At 53.1% G+C, this 21,175-nt stretch overlaps 2 protein-coding genes and 1 pseudogene across 16 annotated transcripts in view, besides 2 other annotated features; 1 reads left to right on the top strand and 2 right to left on the bottom strand.

Moving 5' to 3' along the window:
- The window catches only part of MARCHF10 (membrane associated ring-CH-type finger 10), a 107,001-nt gene extending 105,595 nt beyond the window's left edge, over positions 1 to 1,406 (top strand). For all 13 annotated transcript variants that reach the window (XM_005257102.4, XM_005257100.4, NM_152598.4 and 10 more), the window contains one exon: positions 962 to 1,406. In XM_005257102.4, coding sequence (XP_005257159.2) covers positions 962 to 1,111 — 150 coding nt within the window. In that variant the 3' untranslated portion in view covers positions 1,112 to 1,406. The remainder of the gene's footprint in view (positions 1 to 961) is intronic.
- The window catches only part of MRC2 (mannose receptor C-type 2), a 65,928-nt gene continuing 53,875 nt past the window's right edge, over positions 9,123 to 21,175 (bottom strand). The window contains exons 19-30 of one of the 3 annotated variants that reach the window (NM_006039.5): positions 20,783 to 20,883; positions 20,343 to 20,485; positions 14,317 to 14,431; positions 14,056 to 14,219; positions 13,760 to 13,868; positions 12,960 to 13,198; positions 12,658 to 12,826; positions 12,415 to 12,564; positions 11,959 to 12,078; positions 11,592 to 11,771; positions 10,582 to 10,608; positions 9,123 to 10,489 (exon numbers count right to left, since the gene is read on the bottom strand). In NM_006039.5, coding sequence (NP_006030.2) covers positions 10,269 to 10,489; positions 10,582 to 10,608; positions 11,592 to 11,771; positions 11,959 to 12,078; positions 12,415 to 12,564; positions 12,658 to 12,826; positions 12,960 to 13,198; positions 13,760 to 13,868; positions 14,056 to 14,219; positions 14,317 to 14,431; positions 20,343 to 20,485; positions 20,783 to 20,883 — 1,738 coding nt within the window. In that variant the 3' untranslated portion in view covers positions 9,123 to 10,268. The other 2 variants (XM_047437208.1, XM_011525543.2) reach the window with 2 other exon arrangements.
- Positions 9,457 to 10,118: an enhancer, noted in NCBI's record as "H3K27ac-H3K4me1 hESC enhancer chr17:60769963-60770624 (GRCh37/hg19 assembly coordinates)". NCBI's record gives its function as "activates a minimal SCP1, AML or CMV promoter by ChIP-STARR-seq in naive H9 embryonic stem cells {active_cell/tissue: H9 hESC(naive)}" and the evidence as "EXISTENCE:reporter gene assay evidence [ECO:0000049][PMID:30033119]".
- Positions 10,119 to 10,780: an enhancer, noted in NCBI's record as "H3K27ac-H3K4me1 hESC enhancer chr17:60769301-60769962 (GRCh37/hg19 assembly coordinates)". NCBI's record gives its function as "activates a minimal SCP1, AML or CMV promoter by ChIP-STARR-seq in naive H9 embryonic stem cells {active_cell/tissue: H9 hESC(naive)}" and the evidence as "EXISTENCE:reporter gene assay evidence [ECO:0000049][PMID:30033119]".
- Positions 18,710 to 18,815, bottom strand: RNU6-446P (RNA, U6 small nuclear 446, pseudogene; annotated as a pseudogene).

Genomic DNA, 21,175 nt, shown 5'->3' with positions numbered 1-21,175 from the left:
ACAACAGGCAGAAACTTTCTTTCTTTTCTTTTTTCTTTTTTTATTTTTCTTTTTGAGATGGAGTCTCGCTCTGTCACCCAGGCTGAAGTGCAGTGGCACGATCTCGGCTCACTGCAGCCTCTGCCTCCCAAGTTCAAGCGATTCTCCTGCCTCAACCTCCTAAGCAGCTGGGATTACAGACACCCGCCACCACCCCTGGCTAATTTTTTGTATTTTAAGTAGAGATGGGGTTTTGCTATGTTGGCCAGGCTGGTCTCGAACTCCTGACCTCAAGTGATTCGCCGCCCCCCGCCCCCCGCCCCTTGGCCTTCCAAAGCGCTGGGATTACAGGCGTGAGCCACCACGCCTGGCTTAAACTGTTTCTAAATTGTCAGAGAGCATTCACTCAAGCCAAGGGGGAAAGAAACATATTGAGACAAGAGTTTCCCCGAAGAATAAAGGAGACCACCCACCCCCACCAACTCCACCTCCTCCACTGGGACTGCACTGCGTCCCAGTGCCTCTTGCTCTCCCTCCCTTTCCCCGTCCTATCACTTGTCCCTCTGCATCCAGCCATTGATTTCTGAAAGACTCCTGAAACACCTGGGTCCGTTCCCCCTTCCCTGCCAAATTAGGAAGCGGGGGTTCAAGTGGGGCCTTACCCTGAGAGGAAGCAATGGCCCCTGCAGCTATTCAGCCTGAAAACAAGTTCTGCACCAGGCTATGTGGGGACGTGGAGATGACCAAGATGCTGTCTTTGGGGGAAGCTGGTGTGGCTGAAACCCCAATGGGGCAGTCTGTGGATTCCCCGGCCCCAGACTGCAGGTCTCTGTTCCCCACACGGTTCCAGGCACTGTGGCCATGTGGGTGGCTGGGCCTCAGGGATGGGGTGGGAGAAGATGAAGCAGCAGTGCCGTGCCCCCTGTAACAGACCCACGGTCTGCTGCGGCCCTCCAGCCTGAAACACCTTCTTGCCTTCCAGATTCGGAGTTGGGAGATGGAAATGAAGGCAGCATTTCTCAAAGCCAGGTCGTCTAGCAAGGAAGCCAACTGTGGAGCTCGGCGGAGACCTCTCCCGCCAGCCCTTCTTTCTACGTCCCCAAGTGCCTCCCTCCCTCCTCCTCTTTACTGAAACTGAAACCAAAGCGTTCACAGTTAGATTTTCACCTCGTGCCACTCTCTTTTGGGGTCTGGCTTGAGCATCTATGGGCAGCCACAGCGACCAGTCTAGTCCCAGACAGCACAGGTCAAGCAGCGTGGGACTGTGGAGCCCCTGGCAGGCTGGCCTGGTGCTGCCCCCTTAGCCCAGAAGCCCTGCCAGGTCCAGTGGCCTGGGGTCCCACTGCTGAGGGCACCTGCCAGGCCTCACTCCACCCTGAATGGACTCGAGCCATGTATTCATTCAGTAAACTGACATTATTCTCCCAGCTTCGTTCATGTTTATTTCACTTGCCTTGGTCAGAGGCCAAGGGTCTCAAGCTGGAGGGAGAGGGAAGCACATGTCACAGCCCACATCTCACCTCTACTTCTCCCTTGCTCCCACCATCACTGGGGATGCTACATCCTGGGCCCCCATGGGCTGGGGCAGGCTGGATGGTGGCTGCCCCTGTAGGTACCCACTTAGGACCCAACTGGGGTGTGGACTCCACACTTTTTTTCCTGATTGCATCTTAGGGCCCAAAGACCAAGTCAGGACTTGGGGTGGAAGGTCAGAGGGTTAGTGAGAAAATTGTGTGTGCGAGTGTGTTTGAGTACGTGTGTGTGTGTGTGTGTTTTTGTTTAAAAAAAATTGTTTTTTAAGCCAAAAAACAATAAAAGAGCTGGACATGGTGGCTCACACCTGTAATCCCAGCACTTTGGGAAGCCGAGGAGGATGGATCACTTGAGGTCAGGAATTGGAGGCCAGCCTGGCCAACGTGGCAAAACCCTGTCTCTACTAAAAATACCAAAAAAAAAAAAAAAATTAGCTGGGCGTGGTGGTGGACATCTGTAGTCCCAGCTACTTGGGAGGCTGAGGCATGAGATTCACTTGAACCCCTGCAGTAAGCTGAGATCGCACCACTGCACTCCAGCCTGGGCAACAAAGCAAGACTCCACCTCAAAAATAAATAAATAAAAATAAAAGGGCCAGTTATGGTGGCTCATGCCTATAAGCTCAGCACTTTGGGAGGCCAAGGCAGGTAGACCGCTTGAGCCCAGAAGTTTGAAATCAGCCTGGGCCATAGCGAGACCCTGTCTCTACAAAAAAAATTTAAAAATTTGCCATGTGTAGTGGCATACCCTCGTGGGCCCAGCTACTCGGGAGGCTGAGGTAGGAGGATCGCACGAGCCTAGGGGGTCAAGGTTGCAGTGAGCCATGATCGCACCACTGTACTGCAGCCTTGTAGACAAGGCTACAAGACCCTGTCACAAATAATAATAATAATAATAAAAGATGGAGGGGACAAACTACGGTACATGCAAAAATGTTATGCTAAGTGAGAAAAGCCAGACACCAAACACTACATAGTATATGATTCATTTTACACAATTTCTAGAAAAGGCAAAACTAGAGAGACAGCAAGCAGATCAGTAGTTGCTGGGGGCTGGGAAAGGAGCAGGGATTGACTGCAAATAGGGTCCAGGGGACTATTGGGGGTGAGTGAGGTGTTATAAAGCTGCTTTGTGGCAATATTTACACAACTGGATAAATTTGCTAAAGCTCATTGCCTCTATAGATTTTCTAAAAAATGGAGGGAGGGACAGAGAAAGGGCAGAGAGAGGAGAACGAGAGAGAAAGATGAAATGAGGAGGCGGCACTTCTCCCCCCTGCCTTTAAGACTTCTCAGACTAGGAGAGGCCCCTGCTTCCCCGACTCACCCTCTCCTAGGGGTCTCAAAGGATGAGATTTTTGCGGCAAAGGGGTGCCCTGAGCTGAATTAAGGAGTCAATAGGGTTTTAGGAAGGCCAGGCTTGACTCACCTTAAAATCTGGTCCCACTCTTCCGATATGTTCCAGTTAAAGTGATGCAACTCTTGAAAACCAACCAGTAGGTTCGCTGGGCACAGTGGCTCACGCCTGTAATCCCAGCACTGGGAGGCAGAGGTGGGTGGATCACCTGAGGTCGGGAGTTCTAGACCAGCCTGACCAACATGGCGAAAACCCAACTCTACTAAACACAAAAAGAATTAGCCAGGCATAGTGGCACATGCCTGTAAACCCAGCTACTTGGGAGGCCGAGGCAAGAGAATTGCTTGAACCCAGGAGGCGGAGGTTGCAGTGAGCCGAGATTGCGCCATCGCACTCCAGCTTGGGCAACACAGCGAAACTCCATCTCAAAAAAAAAAAAAGAAAGAAAACCAGTAGTAGTTTCAACCAGGCAGCCTAGACCCAAGATCAAAGTTAAGAGCCATTCGAGTCGAAAATATCTCCATGATTTAAATAAAATTCCTAAAACCTCAAGTTCCTCCACTCACAAAAATGGCCTCAAACTCTATGAGAAAATGAGCCTTTTGAACTAAACTTTAAGGTTGACTAAAGATTTGTCCAGGATCCAGTACTGAGGAATGTATAAGAAGGGACAGTGCACGTCTAAAAATAAGTTTTTGTAGAGAGCGGAATGGAATTTGAGGTGGCCGTGTAAACATCCTGACAGCTTGAATCCACAGTAGGATGTGACAGTGTTTGAGGCAGCTGAGGAGACCATCACAGGTTTACATCAGAAAATCAGGTTTTTGAAAAACTGTACTCTTTTTTTTTTTTTTTTTTTTTTTTGAGATGGAGTCTCGCTCTGTCATCAGGCTGGAGTGCAGTGGCATGATCTCAGCTCACTGCAACCTCTGTCTCCTGGGTTCAAGCGATTCTCATGCCTCAGCCACCCGAGTAGCTGGGATTACAGGCATTCGCCACCATACCCAGCTAATTTTTGTGTTTTTAGTAGAGACAGGGTTTCACCATGTTGGCCAGGATGGTCTCGATCTCCTGACCTCATGATCCGCCCACCTCAGCCTCCCAAAGTGCTGGGATTACAGGCGTAAACCACGGCGCCCGGCCAAAACTGTTTCAGGGATTTACCCAACCAGGAATGCTTCCCATGAGGTCCAGGGTGGGGTAGACATTGAGGAGCTGGGGACTACCCACACTATCAATTTGATTTCCTGGCAGGAGTCTGCCTGCCATATGGGGCTTTTCATGGCTTGAGATTCCAAGAGGACAGCCTCATTTATTAAAAGGCAGTGATGAGGCCAGGTGCGGTGGCTCACGCCTATAGTCCTAGCACTTTGGGAGGCCGAGGTGGGCGGATCACTTGAGGTCAGGAGTTCATGACCAGCCTGGCCAACATGGTCAAACCTGGTCTCTACTAAAAATAAAAAAATAATTAGCCAAGCCTGGTGGAGGGTGCCTGTAGTCTCAGCTACTCAGGAGGCTGACGCAGGAGAATCGCTGAAGCCCGGGAGGCAGTGAGCTGAGATCGCGCCACTGCACTCCAGCCTGGGTGACAGAGCAAGACTCCGTCTCAGAAAAATAAAAAATAAAAATAAATAATGCTAAAATATAAAATAAAGCATCCCCAATGGTATAAATGTCTAATACGTCAACCGAGCCCCACTTTATTTCTATGCATTGTACCCCACAGCCCAGGAGACCCAGGTGTCCCTCCGCCACTGCTTTGGGAAGGGAGGCCGTGGAGGCTCAGAAGGAAAGAGGTCATTCTTAGCCCTCAAGTCTCAAAATAGCCCTAAAACTCTCCAGAGATGAGAGGTTGGGACAAAGTTCTTTAGTCCCCAGGCCTGACTACAAGATCTCGAGGGGCTCTCTGTAGCCCTGTTGCCCACCCCACAACACGTTTTCCAGTGCAGGGAGGAGAGGTGGCATGGCAAGTTCTTCACCTTTGTGCCTTAGCTTTCTCATCTGTAAGAGGGGGACAGTAGCACCTACCTTATGTTGTATTGGGAAGATTAAGTGAGTTAATACGTGTTAAGCAGTTAGAACAGGGCGTGTACATAGTAAATAATACCTATTTTGTTATTATCATTGTCATGGAGGAATAGTGGGTCAGAGGCAGTGTTCTGAGCCCCCTGCAGCCCCAGTATGAGGAAAGACACCATCCAAGGTTCCCCAAGTCCCTGAGGGAGATGCAGAAGGGCAGGACACCCCTGCATAAGCCAGCGGGGACATAAATGACCGGGAACCAGATGTCCCTCCCCCAGCTGTGAAACCTGGACGCTCCATAGGACCTTAGAGGCACCTGGAAATATAGGCGAAAATCCCAACTGCACTAGAAAACCTTAACTGACCAGGATTTCCCTGAAATGGCTATAACTAAAGCTCTGCCATCAGCCGATGCAAGGAGACAGTTAAGGTTCTGCACTCCTCACTGTGTGGCCTTGAACCTCAGCGCCCCCAGCGTGTCCACCTCCAGCAGGAAAGGCCTGCCCACCGCTCCTCCTCCTCCCCTTTCTCCAGCGCTGGCATCCCGCCTGCTTGTCTGGCCAAGGAAGGATTGAAATCTGTCCCTCAAATGGTGCTGGTTCTGGTGGGAGTGAAGCCTGCAGGCTTTCCCCGGGGCCTCTTGGCAGTCCCAGCCCCGAAGATAAAGAAAATCAGGCCTGTCCGGAACATCTCGGTACTTTCATCTGGTGCTGGTCTTTCACAGCCCCCTTCATTTCCCTGCTGTCCTTTGCCCGCCCTCCCTCCCTCCAGCCTGCCTTCCTCCGGGTCCTCCCTCAAGTCGCAATTCTTTGCCTTGTGCCTGCAATGGACTCAAGCCCTGGTGCTCGAGGCGGCTTGGCCGGGCTCAGGTGGCTCCGTTCCAGGAGAGCCATGTGGTGTGGCTGGCGGCTCCTCACCCCTGCGGCCTCACAGGGCTGCCCACTGGGCCAGGCCAGCTCTGCCAGCACACCTTCGAGGAGGCCATCTCTGGCGCGACAAGAAGCGGTTGAGAGAATGCTGTTCTCTGGAGAGCAGCCGCATTCTCCCATTCATTCACGGATCCAGGTGGCCAGAGCGGGGCGGGTTAACCCTGCAAGTGAAGGCTGGGCCTAGCGCCTGGCATACAGTGCTGATTGCCCAGGCCTGCCAGGATAGGCTTGGGGGCATCTGCCACCCAGCAAAGAGCCTGGTATGTAGAGGAGGTACTTGATGTATTGAAATGAAATGAGCAGAAAGGAAGGAGACTGCCACCAGGGCTATCCTGAGCCAGAGGGTGAGTGGCCGGCATCCAGAGCCTGCCTCCTGCCCCTTCAGAGAGATGCAGGAGCCTCCCTTAGTCATCTCTGGGCAGGCTTAGAACGAGGTCTAGGGGTAGCCTCCAGGCACCCGTGACGCTGTCTGAAATGCTTGCAGGTGGGTGCAGGGCCCTGGGGAGACTCGTCACCTGAGCAAGGCAGAGAGACGTGAGGAGAGCAGGCACCAGCCACTGACGAGGGCAGCTCTGGCCACTGGGGTCCTCCGTCCCTCCGCTGCTCCCTCCCACCCCTCAAGCTAGTGATCCGGACCTCACTCCTTGACCTTTCTTCTCTCCCGAGGTTAGAGTCACTAGGGTCTTGGGGGGCCTCTCCCCCAATGTTTCTTGTGGTGTTGTGTCTGGAGTTGGTTCCTTCCAGTGGGTTCGTGGTCTCACTGACCTCAAGAATGAAGCCTCGGACCTTCACGGTGAGTGTTACAGCTCTTTTTTTTTGTTTTTGAGACAGAGTCTCGCTCTGTCGCCCAGGCTGGAGTGCAGTGGCACAATCTCGGCTCACTGCAAGCTCCGCCTCCTGGGTTCACGCCATTCTCCTGCCTCAGCCTCCCGAGTAGCTGGGACTACAGACGCCTGTCACCACGCCCAGTTAATTTTTTGTATTTTTAATAGAGATGGGGTTTCACCATGTTAGCCAGGATAGTCTTGATCTCCTGACCTCATGATCTGCCTGTCTCGGCCTCCCAAAGTGCTGGGATTACAGGCGTGAGCCACCATGCCTGGCCTAGTGTTACAGCTCTTAAAAGTGGCACGGACCCAAAGAGTGAGGAGCAGCAGCAAGATTTATTGTGAAGAGTGAAAGAACAAAGCTTCCACAGTATGGAAGAGGACCTGAGCGGGTTGCTGCTAGGGGTGGGGTGGGTGGGGAGGACACAGCTTTTATTCCCTTATTTGTCCCCGCCCATGTCCTGCTGATTGGTCCATTTTACAGAGTGCTGATTGGTCCATTTTACAAACCTCTAGCCAGGTACAGAGTGCTGATTAGTGCATTTTTACAGAGCACTGATTGGTGCATTTTACAAACCTCTAGCTAGCTACAGAGCACCAATTGGTGCATTTTTACAGAGCACTGATTTTACAAACCTCTTGTAAGAAAAGTTCTCCAAGTCCCCACTCAACCTAGGAAGTCCAGCTGGCTTCACCTCTCACTGTGGGCAGTGGCAGGGCACTTAACTCACAAAGGGAGCTGTTTGGGCTGCAGGGCTAGATAGCAACTCACTCCAGGGTGAACCTCCCACAGGACTGGGACTCCCTCCCCTGAGTGATTAGGCGCCTTCCATGGGTCCTGCTGTTGCTGGGGCGGCACAGAGAGGATTGCTGGAGGGGGTCCCCTGGGCTCCACCGTAGTCCTGGACTCAGGCCAGCAGCTCATGGGCTCTCCCTAGGGCTCCTGTCTCAGGAAACAGCACCCCATTCACCCTGCAGTCCAGGCGGGAAGCTTGGAGTGCTTCCTGACTCCCACTGCCTTTCCCCAGGCAGATCCCATCCCCAGCAAGGGCATCCGCCATCCCTTCAGTCCAATCTGGCGTTCATTTGCTTTCACAAAGAAACACTGGAAAGACAGGAAACTGACAGGGCAGGAGGGTATAGGCTGGAGGGCGACGGGCAGGGGCAGGACTTGCGCAACATCTATCTTGGGATATCATTTAGGTATCCCACGCAATGCAGACTGCGTGACTGCATTGTCTATTCATAAAAGTGGAAACTTATTTTAAATATCATGAACAGGGCAAAACACACACACACGCACGCGCGCGCACACACACACACACACACACACACACACACACAGAATCTGACCACTACTGCAGTCCTGATCCCAACAAACCACCGTCTTGTTGTGCCTGAATTATTACAAGAGCTTCCGCACCAGCCTTCCTGCTTTCACTCCCCCGTTTCCCATCCATTGTCTATTTCTCAACTCCTAGCCAGAATGATCTTGTTAAAAGGTCAGCCTGATTAGCCATTCCCATTGACTTCCCACTATCCTGAAAATAATGCTACATTCTACCACTGCCTTCAGGGCCTTGGACAATCTGGCCCTGCCTGACTCATCTCAGCCTCAGCCCACCTCGCCTCCCTGCTGGTCCCCTAAAGCACCAGGGATGCCCCCCTAGCCCTGGCCCAGATATTTGCATTGCTCACTCCGCCACCTCCTTCAGGCTGCAGTCAATCTCACTCCCTCTAGTGAGACCCTCCCCAGACACACAGGCCACATTAGCAGCTTCCCCCTGCCTCGCCCGATTGGCGTTGGTTAACCTTCCTTTGTTGGCATCTCCAGCTCAAATACCGGCTGAATGAACAAGCAGGTGAGTAAAGGTCCTGCCGTCCATTCTGCCTTCTGTGGTTTCAGAGCCCAGGCTCCCTAAGGACACATGTGAACTTTCAGGCTGTTAGAGGGCAGGTATGATGGCTGCCTTGGAAGGACGGTGATGTGGAGCCCCCACCCAGGGCCGGCCTGGACACATCAAGTGCTCCCCTGGAGCCGCAGCCCAGAAACGGCAGTAACGCCTAGCGCTTGCAGAGCCCAGAGGCACTGTTCTAAGTGCTCTGCACAGATGAGCTCCCTTGATCCTCACATATCCTTAAAACAACCCTAGGAGGTGGGTCCGGTTCTCCCCACTGTGCACATGTTGAGAGGTGTGCTAAGTTGCCCAAGCTTGCACGGCTGGCTGCTCAGCAGCAGATGGCCTGGCTCCTGAGTTCTCACCCACATTCAAGCCCCCAGGAACAGAGAGAGGGAGGCGCAGGCCCAGAGGGGTGAGCTCCTAAAGATCGGGGGTGAGAGTGTCCCCTAGAGGCCCAGAGACAGACGCAAAATGGCCAGCTGCAGAAAACACCTGTGGTGCAAGCTCCAAAACAACAGTTATCTCCGAAGGGACAGACGTGAAGAAGCAGGCTCACCACAGGACAAGGCAGAACCTTCTCTTTCAAGCCTCTTAAAGGTGTTTTATTTGTTTGCTTTTCTTTTTTCCTTTTTTTTTAAAAACAATAATGGCACATTTAAAAAATCAACTACAGAGAAAGGGCCATGTCTTCGAGTCCATGTTCACATTGTCCCACGCTGTCGCACCAGGATGGGCCGCATACTTTGTCCTGGCTGGGACTGTGGCCTCTTGGAAGGGTACTGGGCCACTCCAGGGCTCGGGTGCTGCTCCTCCTGGATCCACTAGAGGGTGAACTCTGGGCCCTCCCAGACTCCTGCTCCTCTGGGGCCCCCAGGACTCTGGCAACCCTTCCCCTTGCTCCAAACCAGAGCCAGGAGCTGGAGATGTTAGGGAACTTATTTTGGTCCCCACAGGGGACTCTTCCAGGGGCAGAGCCCTCCCCCGCCCGGCAGGAGATGACATCCCAGCCCGGCCCAGCTCCCACCCTGGGAGGTTGGGGTGTCTCTCCCCAGTCTTATCTCCAGCCCAGCAGACACCACACCCGTGCCCTGGTTCTCAGGCCCAACCCACCTAGGCCCCTCCTGCCACGCCCCACAGCCACCCCAGCAGGCACAGGAGTGATGGATGCTCAGCCCCCTCAGCTGACCCTCATCAGGAACAAGAGGGCTCCCCAATCCCCAGGGCCCGGCTCAGAAGGAAGGGGTGGGAGAGAAGGGGCGAGAGGGAGCAGGGTGAGGGGCACAGAGCTGAGGCTGCCAGGTGGGAAGAGAGACACAACAGATCTGCCCGAGGGGACAGGGGAGGCTCCTCGGGCTCTGCAAAGAAGGGGGTCCTGGGGCGCGGATCAACAGGCCTGGGCCGGGGGCTCTGGGGAGAAAGAGGCTCTCGTTCCCCCTCCCATCCTACCTCTGGTTCCTGTGGGGGCACAGGACCAGGTGACAAGACCTCAGGCCCCCCCAGAAAGGGAAACGCCACGCTGCACTCAGCTGGGTCTCAGCCCAGCCCTTGTGGGAGGGTGGCACCCCACCAGCCCAGGCTCTGCCCAGCTCCGGCTCCCAACAGCGACTCCCAAGGGCACCCTTCCATAGGCCAACTGGACAGGCAGCTGGTGGGGGGCCAGACTGACCCAGGGCCCCAGCTCCCCAGCTCCTCCCGCCCTGGCCCTGCCCACGCGCCTGGCTCTATTCTTGTTGCTCATTCATTTCCATGTCTGACACCAGGATGTTCTTCTCAGTGGCCTCGGTGGGGCTGGAGCTGCTGCGGCTGTAGCGGGCACCCTCAAAGGCCCCGCGCTCGATGCTCTGGCGCCTCCGGTAAAGGATGAGGGCTGCGGTCAGCAAGGCCAGGAGCAGCAGCACCGCCATCAGCACCACCACCAGGGCCGCTGGGTTCTCTGGAAGCGCTGCCAAGGCGAGTGGGCGTGAAAGGCCAAGTGGGCGTTAGGCCCAGCAGTGCTTCCTGCCTGCCCACCTGGGGGCATTGCCTTTCACTCACCTGATGGGGAGAAGCTGCTCTGCTCAGCTGTGGGCAAGAGGAGGGGGCCAGTTAATAATAGCAGTGATCATCGTAATAATCACTTAAGTAAACATACAAAGCACACAGGCCTGGGCCGGGAGGTCTGGGGAGAAAGAGGCTCTAGTTCCCCCTCCCATCCTACCTCTGGTTACTGTGGGGGCACAGGCCCAAGAGACAAGACTTCAGGTTCCCCCAGAAAGGGAAAACGCCATGCTGCACTCAGCTAGGTCTCAGCCCAGCCCTCGTGGGAGGCCTGGGTGTCAGCCCCTTCCCTAACTCACCTCATCTTTACTAGCTTCACTAGCACTCTAGGAGGTCGGGACTTTTTTTTTTTTTTTTTTTTTTTGGAGACAGGGTCTTGCTGTGTTGCCCAGGCTGGAATGCAGTGGTGCGATCTCGGCTCACTGCAGCCTCCACCTCCACGGTTGAAGCAATTCACATGCCTCAGCCTCCTAAGTAGCTGGGACTACAGGCATGTGCTACCACGCCCAGCTAATTTTTGTACTTTTTGGTAGAGACGGGGTTTCACCATGTTGGCCAGGCTGGTCTTGAACCCCTGACCTCAAGTGATCCGCCCACCTCAGCCTCCCAAAGTGCTGGGATTACAGGCATGAGCCACCACATCAGTCTGGAACTACTATTATTCCCATTTTACATACGAGGAAACTGAGGCCACAGACTCTGCCCAAGGTCACACCACTGATAAGTGACATGGCCAGGACTTGAACTCTGTCCATGCCCTTGACCACTACAAAGTGACAGGGGGTTGCTGACCCCCGAGCCTTGTGGTCTAGTTTGGATGATAAGTTTCAGGTCCAGTCCATCCCACTGACTAATTTATCCCGGGGGTCCCAGCTGCCCGCAGTCCGTTCTGTTCAGGCCTTCCCATCGGCTGTGCCCCCTGCAGTTGTGAAGCAGCCCCCAGCCCCAGCCCAGGACCAGCGGCACGGGGTGGAAGGAGGCTGAGCGTGGGCCTGCCCGGCGCTCACCACGAGGAAGCTTGCAGACGACACCCATGGTGATGTTGGTGCAAGCGCCGGGGCGCCATAGCCCGCTGTTGCTCTGAATCCAGTAGCAGCTGTTGTGGCTCAGCATGCTGGGGCCCAAGCCCGGGGGCCCCCAGTTGGAGTAGTTCACAGCTGTGTTGTCCTGCCAGACCAGAGTGCCTCCTGCAGGAAAGAAGGCACTGAGGGAGCAGGGACAAGGTGGGGCAGGAGTAGGTGGAGGAGAGCAGGTGTGTTCTAGAACCGACTCCCTGTCCCCCGACAAGCCCCAGGACAAGGCTCAGGGCAAAGTGGAGGGCAGCCCCTTACAGCCTGAGGCTTGACCTCTCCACCCCACACACAGGGCACCCACCTTTGGGGTTGAAGTTCATGCCCAGCCAGGCGCCCCGACTCTGGCCCTCATAGCTCTGCAGGTGCTCCCAGACAAACACATTCTCCATCTCATCCAGGATAGACAGGACGGCCCCACCCGCTGGATGCAAAGAAGGCCCACGTCAGGGCGGATGGGTCTCCGGGGGGGGCAGAGTCCCCCAGAGCTGCTCCAGCCCTCTTCTCTGCAGCCTGAGTAGAGGATGGTGTGGAGTCTGTGGATTCATGTGTGTGTGTGTGCACATGTGCAAGTGTGTGGGGGGGCAGCATATGCACATATAGTGTCATGTATGGTCTCCACATGTGAGAGCACGAGGGCATCTTGTGTAAGTGCTGCCTATGGGTAGAGAGCAGTGTGGGGATGTACTCATGGGTCTGAGTGCCCACGAGAGGAGGTGCCACCTGCCCGCCATGTGTGGGCTCTGGCCTGGTCACCCACCTCTCTGGCAGCGCTGTCGCGCCTCCTTGTGGCCCAGCAGCAGCTCCATGTGGAAAGAATAGCAGTGCTCCCGGAAGGGAATCCACGCGGAGTCTGCCAGTCCCTGGGGACAGCTGCCATGGTAGCTTATTCTTCGGGGAGGAGGGGGCCCTGTGGGGGTACAGGATTAAGAAGTGGCTCAGCACCCTCCCCGGGGCCACCGACAGCTTGCCCATGCCCCCGCCCTGGCAGGTGGGCACTCACCACTGCTAACCCCACACACAGCCCCCTGCAGCTTGGTGTCACAGCTGGTGGTGCGCCAGGCCCCGTCCACATCTACGTAGGTACAGCCCCCCGGCTGCTGCGGCTCCCCGTCCTGCCAGCCCACGTAGTTCAGCGGCTCCTCTGAGACCCAGGAGTACCGCCGAGAGCCCTGGGCATGGGGGGCCATGGGGTGGGAGGAAGGGAATAGTCAGGATAGGGTGCGGATAAGGCGGGGGCAGGAAGGGGCAGGGAGGGGAACCCGGGCAAGGCTGGGGCCCAGGGCAAAAGTGTCGGGAGCCCACCTCCTCGCCAGCCAGCCCAATCCAGAGCGGCGTGCGCAGCCCTCGGGCAGCCTGCGTGAGGAAGGCCTGGGTGTAGGGGTCGGGCACGTAGGCCAGGCTGGCATTGCGGCTCTCACACAGCAGGAGGGCATCGTGCCAGCGCAGCGGCTTCTGAAGCAGCCGGAAGGTGCCGTTGAGGTAGGAGAGCTCAGTGCCCGGGGCGGGGGGCAGCGCTGCTGGGGACGGGCTCAGGGAGGGGTCTACAGGGAAGGGGTCAGGGTTCAGGCTGGGCTCTGCTTCCCTCACCCCGTTCCCAGGCACAAGGCCAGGAGAAGGCCGCACACCAGGCAAAGACCCGGTCTCCACCAGACTCGGCGCTTGGCCCAGACCAAGGCTTGGTAGGTGTCAGCCCTGTTGTTATTAATAATACATGTTTGCTAACAAATGGACAGGGAGGTGAGGGCCTTGACCTCCTCCTACCCAAGGAACCCGGCGCAGAGGCCACCTACGCATGGAGCTGGAGGTGTCTTGGACCTGGAACCTCAGGGTCCTTGACGCCACACGTGCCAGCACTTCATGCAGCCCAGCGTCTAGCTCTCCCCCCGACCCAACGAGCCCTCCATACCCCCAAATCTTCCTCCTGAGACCTGTGGGTGCTATTGCTTTTCCATCTTATTGGCACCTTGCCTTTCTGCCCATCTGCTTCCCAAGCAGAGCCCTGCTCTGCCAGGGACCATGATTCCTTCCTCCTGGCATGGTCCCAGCATCCAGCCCGGTGCCAGGGCCCCACTGGGGTTTCCCAGGTGACTGGTGACACATACCCGTGCCCTTCTGGCAGATGAAGCCATGGGTCTCCTCCGTGCAGCTCCGATCGTCCCAGCGGCCAGTGAAGTGGGCTGAGGGGCTGTGCAGGACCACTGCACAGCTGGTCTGGGGGGAGGGAGCTGCTCAGGGGAGCCCCAGCAGCTGCCTCCCTGTGCTACTGTCCCCAGAAGGCTGCAATGTGAGCAAAGAGGCTGGAAGAAGGGAGACCCTGGGGCAAGAGATGCTGGGGCAAAGGCAGCCCCACAGGCTTAGGGCAGCGCGGTGCGGAGGGGAACAGGGAGGGCATCCTCACCGGTTTGTTGCCACTGGGAGCAGGGCTAGGGCCAGAGGGCTCCCCAGGTGCCCAGTTGGCATACATCAAAGGCTCCTGCTCCACCCACTGGAAGTCCCTCTGCGAGGCATGGAGGCCAATCCAAAGGTCAAAGGTCACATTGGGCAGGCTGGCTGTGATGAATGCTATGGTCCCCAGAAGACAGTTGTGAGTGACTCTGCTATAGCTATTTGGGGGGACAGTGTCAGAGGATACTGGGGGCTCCCCATAGGCTGGCCCTACCTTGCTCTAAGGGGTTTGTGATGGTGACCAGCTGGGCCTCTTGCTGTTCACAGGAGAACTGTGCCTCTGACCACTTCACCCGGCTCTGGGGTTCCTGGCCCTGGACCTGAAAACACTGTGGGGCAGAGGTGGGGATGTAATGGCCAGCCCCACCACCCCATCCACAAACCCAGAAAGGCCACTGTGCGCCCCTCAGCAGCAGGTCCTGGGGGGCCTTTGAGGGCCGGGAGAGAACAGTATCTGAGAACCAGGACAGCTGGGTCTGCTTGGCAGCCTCCAGCACCTCCCAGCTTGGCACTGCAGATTCACACACACCTGCCCACACTCCAGGGGATCTTCAAATGGGAGGATTTCTTTGGGCCGTCAAAGGCTATGACAACAGTGCCTAGGCCAAGCACTAGGAAGATGGGGACAAGGATCTATCTTGCTTTCTGCTAAACACCCTTCCGAATGTTGTCTGACATCCATTATCTTGCCCTTTGAACTTACATGATCATCTCTAGGACACTTTTTTTTTTTTCAAGACAGAGTCTCGCTCTGTCTCCCAGGCTGGAGTGCAGTGGCGCCATCTCGGCTCACTGCAAGCTCCACCTCCAGGGTTCACACCATTCTCCTGCCTCAGCCTCCCCAGTAGCTGGGACTGCAGGCGCCCACCACCATGCCCAGCTAATTTTTTGTATTTTTAGTAGAGACGGGGTTTCACCGCGCCCAGCCCTAGGACACTTTTATCTCTATTGTTGAATGATCTATTAGCAGCAGCTTCTAACTCTGTAATTTTACATTTCTCTTTTCCCACTTTCATTAGCTCTATAAGGTTTCCAAACAAACAAACAAACAAAAGCCCTGGGTAGGAAATCTCTCATCAAGTGAAGACTCTTTCTTAGGAAAATGAATATCTAATGATTTTCTGCTCAGAGGCAGTGTGATGGAAAATAAAGGGTGTTGGCCAGGCACGGTGGCTCACACCTGTAATCCCAGCACTTTGGGAGGCCAAGGCGGGTGGATCACCTGAGGTCTGGAGTTCGAGACCAGCCTGACCAACATGGAGAAACCCCATCTCTACTAAAAATATAAAATTAGCCAGGCGTGGTGGCACATGCCTGTAATCCCAGCTACTTGGGAGGCTGAGGCAGGAGAATCGCTTGAACCCAGGAGGCGGAGGTTGCAGTGAGCTGAGATCACGCCATTACACTCCAGCCTGGGCAACAAGAGCGAAACTCTGTCTCAAAAGAAAAAAAAAGAAAGGGTGTAGGGAAGCTTTGGAGTCATAAAGACAGGGGTGGGATTCAGGTAAGGGGGAGATGTCAGATTCCAGCTCTGACAACCTTATGGCCTCAATTTACTCTTCTGTAAAGTGGTAATACAAAGCCTGTCTTTGGGGATCATTTTAAGGATTAAAGATAACAGTACATGACACAGTAGGCACTTAACCAGTGAGAGCTGTGACTATTAATAATTAGCTCCAGCACCATCCTTACTGATGCAGATGGCAGATTTGGGGTAAAAAATTGTAAGCCCAGAAATAATGCAGATTTTTGGAGGTCTGTCACAAAGTTCAAGGATTTGGTTTCACAGAAGTAGTTTCAGAGCCATGCTGAGGCCCAACTTAAATCATGAGTAGAATTCATCATAAACTTGGAAGCAGCAAGGTCACACCAGTACCAGCAAGAAGTGACAGCTAAAGGGGGAGGGTATTCAGCTCAGTCCAGCCGACACTGAGGGCATCCCTGCCATGTGCAAGTGTATTAAGGGGTATGGCAGGTGCTAGTGGCCCTGCCCTCCAGGAGCTTAAAGCTAGTGGAAGAGGCTGTCCCACAAACCAGGGGTCCCCGGCCTCTTAGGAGGTGAGCAGCGGGGCGAAGGGGCATTACAGCCTGAGCTCCACCTCCTGTTGGATCAGCAGGGCATTAGATTCTTTGTTGTTGTTGTTGTTGTTGTTGTTGTTGTTGTTGAGATGGAGTCTTGCTTTGTTGCCCAGGCTGGAGTGCAATGGCGCAATCTCAGCTCACTGCAACCTCCGCCTCCCAGGTTCAAGCTATTCTCCTGCCTCAGCCTCCCGAGTAGCTGGGATTACAGGCGCCCACCACCACACCTGGCTAATTTTTGTATTTTTAGTAGAGACAGGGTTTCACCATGTTGGCCAGGCTGGTTTCAAACTCCTGACCTCAGGTAATCTGCCCACCTAGGCCTCCCAAAGTGCTGGGATTATAGGCTGAGCCACCGCGCCCAGCCAAGATTCTCATAGGAGTGCGAACCCTACCGTGAATTGCACATGCAAGGGATCTAGGTTGCGTGCTCCTTATGAGAATCTAATGCCTGATGATCTGAGGTGGAACAGTTTCATCCCAAAACCATCCCTCCCCTCCCCTAGTACATGGAAAAATTGTCTTCCAAGAAACCAGTCCCTGGTGCCAAAAAGGTTGGGGACAGCTGCCATAAATGCTTTACCTACATCCAAATGCTATAGGGACACAAAGAAGGGCACAGAACTAGTAAAGCAAGATGTGTGAGGGCAGGCAGTGAAGGAGTGAACACCCTAGCATACTTCCAGAGCTTTCCACAGGCCAGGCACAGTGGCGCACACCTGTAATCCCTGCCCTTTGGAAGGCCAAGGCAGGAGGATCGCTTGAGCCCAGAAGTTCAAAACCAGCCTGGACAACATGGCAAAACCCCATTTCTACAAAAAAAATAGAAAAATTAGCTGGGCATGGTGGCATAAGCCTGTAGTGCCAGCTACTCAGGAGGCTGAGGCAGGAGGATCACTTAAGCCTAGGAGGTCGAGGCTGCAGTAAGTAAGCCATGATGGTACCACCATACTCCAGCAGTTTTTGAGACAGAGCAAGACCCTGTCTCAAAAACAAAAACAAACAGAACTTTCCACAGGGCAGGAGAGTAACTGGTATCTTGACAATGATGATTAAGAATGGGACCTATTACATATATAAAATACATTCTGTTTAAAAAGTGGATGGAAAAAGAACAAGTTTTTGGAAAAACTTTATAACATGAGAGATGCTCAAAATATGATACAGAGAAAGAAGAGTTGGGTAGGAAATTATATTATTTAGTATGAGCTCAATTCCATGGAAAAAGGCAGGAAGGAGAATAACAAATATTGATAGCTGTGATCTCTAGAGAGTGTTGGGTGAGTTTTGGTTTCTCTTCTGTATTTTCCAAAGTTTTAATAATATACATGCCTTAATTTTTTAAGGTAGAAGAGGTGTAATTTTTTTTTTGTGTGGTTTTTGTTTTGTTTTGTTTTGAGAGAGAGTCTCAATCTCTCGCCCAGGCTGGAGTGCAGTGGCTCGATCTCAGCTCACTGCAACCTCTGCCTCCCAGGTTCAAGCGATTCTGCTGCCTCAGCCTCCCGAGTAGGTGAGATTACAGGCGTCCACCACCATGCCCAGATAATTTTTTGTATTTTTAGTAGAGACAGGGTTTTGCGATGTTGCCCTGGTTGGTCTCAAACTCCTGATCTCAGGTGATCCACCCGCCTCGGCCTCCCAAAGTGCTGGGATTACAGGCATGAGCCACAGCGCCTGGCCGTGTAATGTTCTTTTGAATATTCTGAGGAGGGCAGGAGATCCATGACACTAAGAGGCTGGCTGCCTTCCTGTGTATGACAAGGATTTGTGGATTATATTATTCAGTGTTAACTAATCTAATCTTCACAACAGGGCTAAGTGTTCTTAAAATGTCCTGCAAAGAAGCCATGGCTTGAGATTAATGCCAATTACCCTGGCACATAACAAGGAAAATGACAACCTTCTCTTCCTGGTATGAACTCGTTGTCAATCGCCAGGTAAAAACAATGAAGGACTAATCAGGTCTAATAAATCAGCCTGTGCATGGAAAAATAACGACTGTGGGGAAGAAACTCACACTATGGAGGGGGTGTTGTAAAAACGTGTTGAGAAATGCATCCATAGTGATTAATGTCAGTGCCCCAAACTTTCCTACCTGCACACTCAAAACACTTGGAAAAAGAATTTTCTAGATAGGGTCTTGCTACATTGCCCAGGCTGGTCTCGAACTCCTGGCTTCAAGTGATCCTCCCAGTGCTCAGCGTCCCAGCCTACTAGCCAATTTTTAAACAAAAATGTTTGTTTAATTGGTAGAAGGACTAAAAATGGGGAGAATTATTTAGAAATGATGGATGAACTTTTTTCACTTCAATCTATTTGTCTTTGTGAGGCATATTTAATCTATAGCCACCATGAAATGCATGTTTTGAAATAACTTTGATTTTCAACACGTTAGACCTGTGAGTCATGAGTCATAAAGTGTCAGACTAAAATTTTTTAAAAACGTGAAGTACATGTAATCACATTGCTCTTATTAAAATTATTTAGACAATTTTTTTGTTGAACAACCTTCAACTTTCATGAACTACGCAAAATATGGACCCTTCAGGAATTTGCATAGCATCCTTGTGCAGGGCCATGCTAATCTTCTCTGTATTGTTTCACTTTTTGTACATGTGCTGCCAAAGTGAGCATATTAAACAATAATTATTATAATTGATCTTTTTTTTTTTTGGAGAAAGGGTCTCACTCCATTACCCAGGGTGGTATACAGTGGCATGACCATGGCTCATTGAAGCCTCTACCTCCTGGGTTCAGGAGATCCTCCCACTTCCCACCTCCTGGGTAGCTGGAACTACAAGTGTGCACCATCACACCTGGTTAATTTTCCTATTTTTTGTAGAGACATGGTCTCTCCATGTTGTCCAGACTGGTCTCGAACTCCTGGGCTCAAGTCATCCTCCTGCCTCAGCCTCCCAAAGTGCTGGGATTACAGGTGTGAGCCACCTCTCCCAGCCAATTAATCACTTTTGAGTGAGCACAAAAAAATGTTTTCATACCACTAGTAAAAAAAAAAAAAAAAAAAAAAGGTGTTTTTTTTGTTGTTTTTTTTTTCTTTGTTTATTTTTTTGAGACGGAGTTTCGCTTTTGTTGCCCAGGCTGGAGTGCAATGGCACGATCTTGACTCACCGCAACTTCCGCCTCCAGGATTCAAGCAATTCTCCTGCCTCATCCTCCCGAGTAGCTGGGATTACAGGCATGTGCCACCACACTCAGCTAATTTTGTATTTTTAGTAGAGATGGGGTTTCTCCATGTTGGTCAGGCTGGTCTCGAACTCCTAATCTCAGGTGATTCACCCGCCTCAGCCTCCCAAAGGGCTGGGATTACAGGCATGACCCACCACGCGCAGCCAAAAAAATGTTTTAAACTTAAAAGTATTTAAAAATCTTTAGCTAATGTTTTATACTCTTTTGTTCTTATACATATTTTACTATATATAATATTAGTCATATTAGTATGGAAGTAGGTTTTATTTACACACACATATACATATATAAGTTAAATGTACACACACATAGTTTGGTCATGTAAGCTCAATATTTTGTTTTACTAATAGGAGTTCATTATCAAAATCTTTGATAATCAGGCCGGCAATCAGGCCGGGCGCGGTGGCTCACATCTGTAATCCCAGCACTTTGGGAGGCCAAGGCAGGTGATCACCTGAGTTCAGGGGTTCGAGACTAGCCTGGCCAACATGGTGAAACCCCATCTCTACTAAAAATACAAAAATTAGCCAGGGGTGGTGGCAGGTGCCTGTAATCCCAGCTACTCGGGAGGCTGAGGCAAGAGAATTGGTTGAACCCAGGAAGCAGAGGTTGCAGTGAGCCGAGATCGCGCCACTGCACTCCAGCCTGGGTGACAAGAGTGAAACTCCTTCTCAAAAAAAAAAAAAAAAAATCTTTGGCAATCACTGATCTAGAACACTCACCAAATTATTTGGACAACCTTGCTTCCCGGAGGATTGGAAGGTGCTACTACAGTGAGTCATTTTCCAAGGAGTCTGGCCCTGGTACTGGAGCCAGGTGAAAGAGAAGTTGGTGGGTACAGGCAAGAGGCCATGAGTTTGGTGCTGCCAAAAGGCCAGGACTCCTGAGGCTCAGCCTTTCCCTGTTCACGTCCTCTCCCCTGACTCCCTTGGGTGCCCCATTGCCACCTCCTACCTTGTTGAGGAACTGGATCCAGTCAGAGGGGCAGCCCCCCAGGGCTGTAGTTGGCAGGTCTGGGGGCTGCGTTTCTTTGGTGACGTTGCTGCGCTTGCAGATGTAGGGCAAGGCTGTCAGGCACCTCTGGTCCCCCCAGTCCTCTGCGGAAAGGGGAGGGGAGGGCAGTCACCCCCAGGGCAGAGCAGGGCAGGGCATGGCTGGCAGCACACTCAGCCTCATGCCCTGAGAGGAGTCTGGGCAGAGGCTCAGGGCCTGTGTCCAGCTCCGAATTCAAGTCTTCTGGACCATGGAGACAGGTCCACCCCTCGCTGAGTCTAGCCTTTATTGGGTTGTGGGAACAAAGAGAATGAGAACAGACTGATGACTTCTGCCCAGGCTCGCCCAGCATTAACCCTTTGCACAGCTGACTGCGCACTCTGCCCCCACCTTGCCCTCACCTCGGCTGGCTGTCATGTACACGCACTTCTTGTCCTTGCCGACAGGCCGAGGTTTGCCTGGTGCCCAGGAGATGAAGTTTATAATGGAACCATCTGTCCATCTGCAATGGCATGGAGCAGAGGTAACTCCAGCACCGGCCCCCAGCTGGGCCTCCACCGGATGCAGCAATGAAGGCCGCAGGAATGGGGGCAGGGAAGGGCCCAGGTTCTGGGGTTTAGTGGCTGTAGGCTGAGGGGTGGAGCTACTGAGCTCAGGGCAGTCAAAGACCCAAGGACCTGGTGCCTCTAGATAAGGCCCCAGCTGTCCCTGGACACTTGCTGCTCCAGAAAAGAAGCCTGAGGACTCCAGGGCAGGAAGCCCAAGGGCAAAAAGACAAGCTCAAATTCTGAGTC

This window comes from Homo sapiens, chromosome 17, assembly GCF_000001405.40.
Source record: "Homo sapiens chromosome 17, GRCh38.p14 Primary Assembly".
In the NCBI taxonomy this organism is placed as follows: domain Eukaryota; kingdom Metazoa; phylum Chordata; class Mammalia; order Primates; family Hominidae; genus Homo; species Homo sapiens.
Note: the sequence above shows the minus strand (reverse complement) of the source record. Positions and strands in the feature narration are given on the sequence as shown.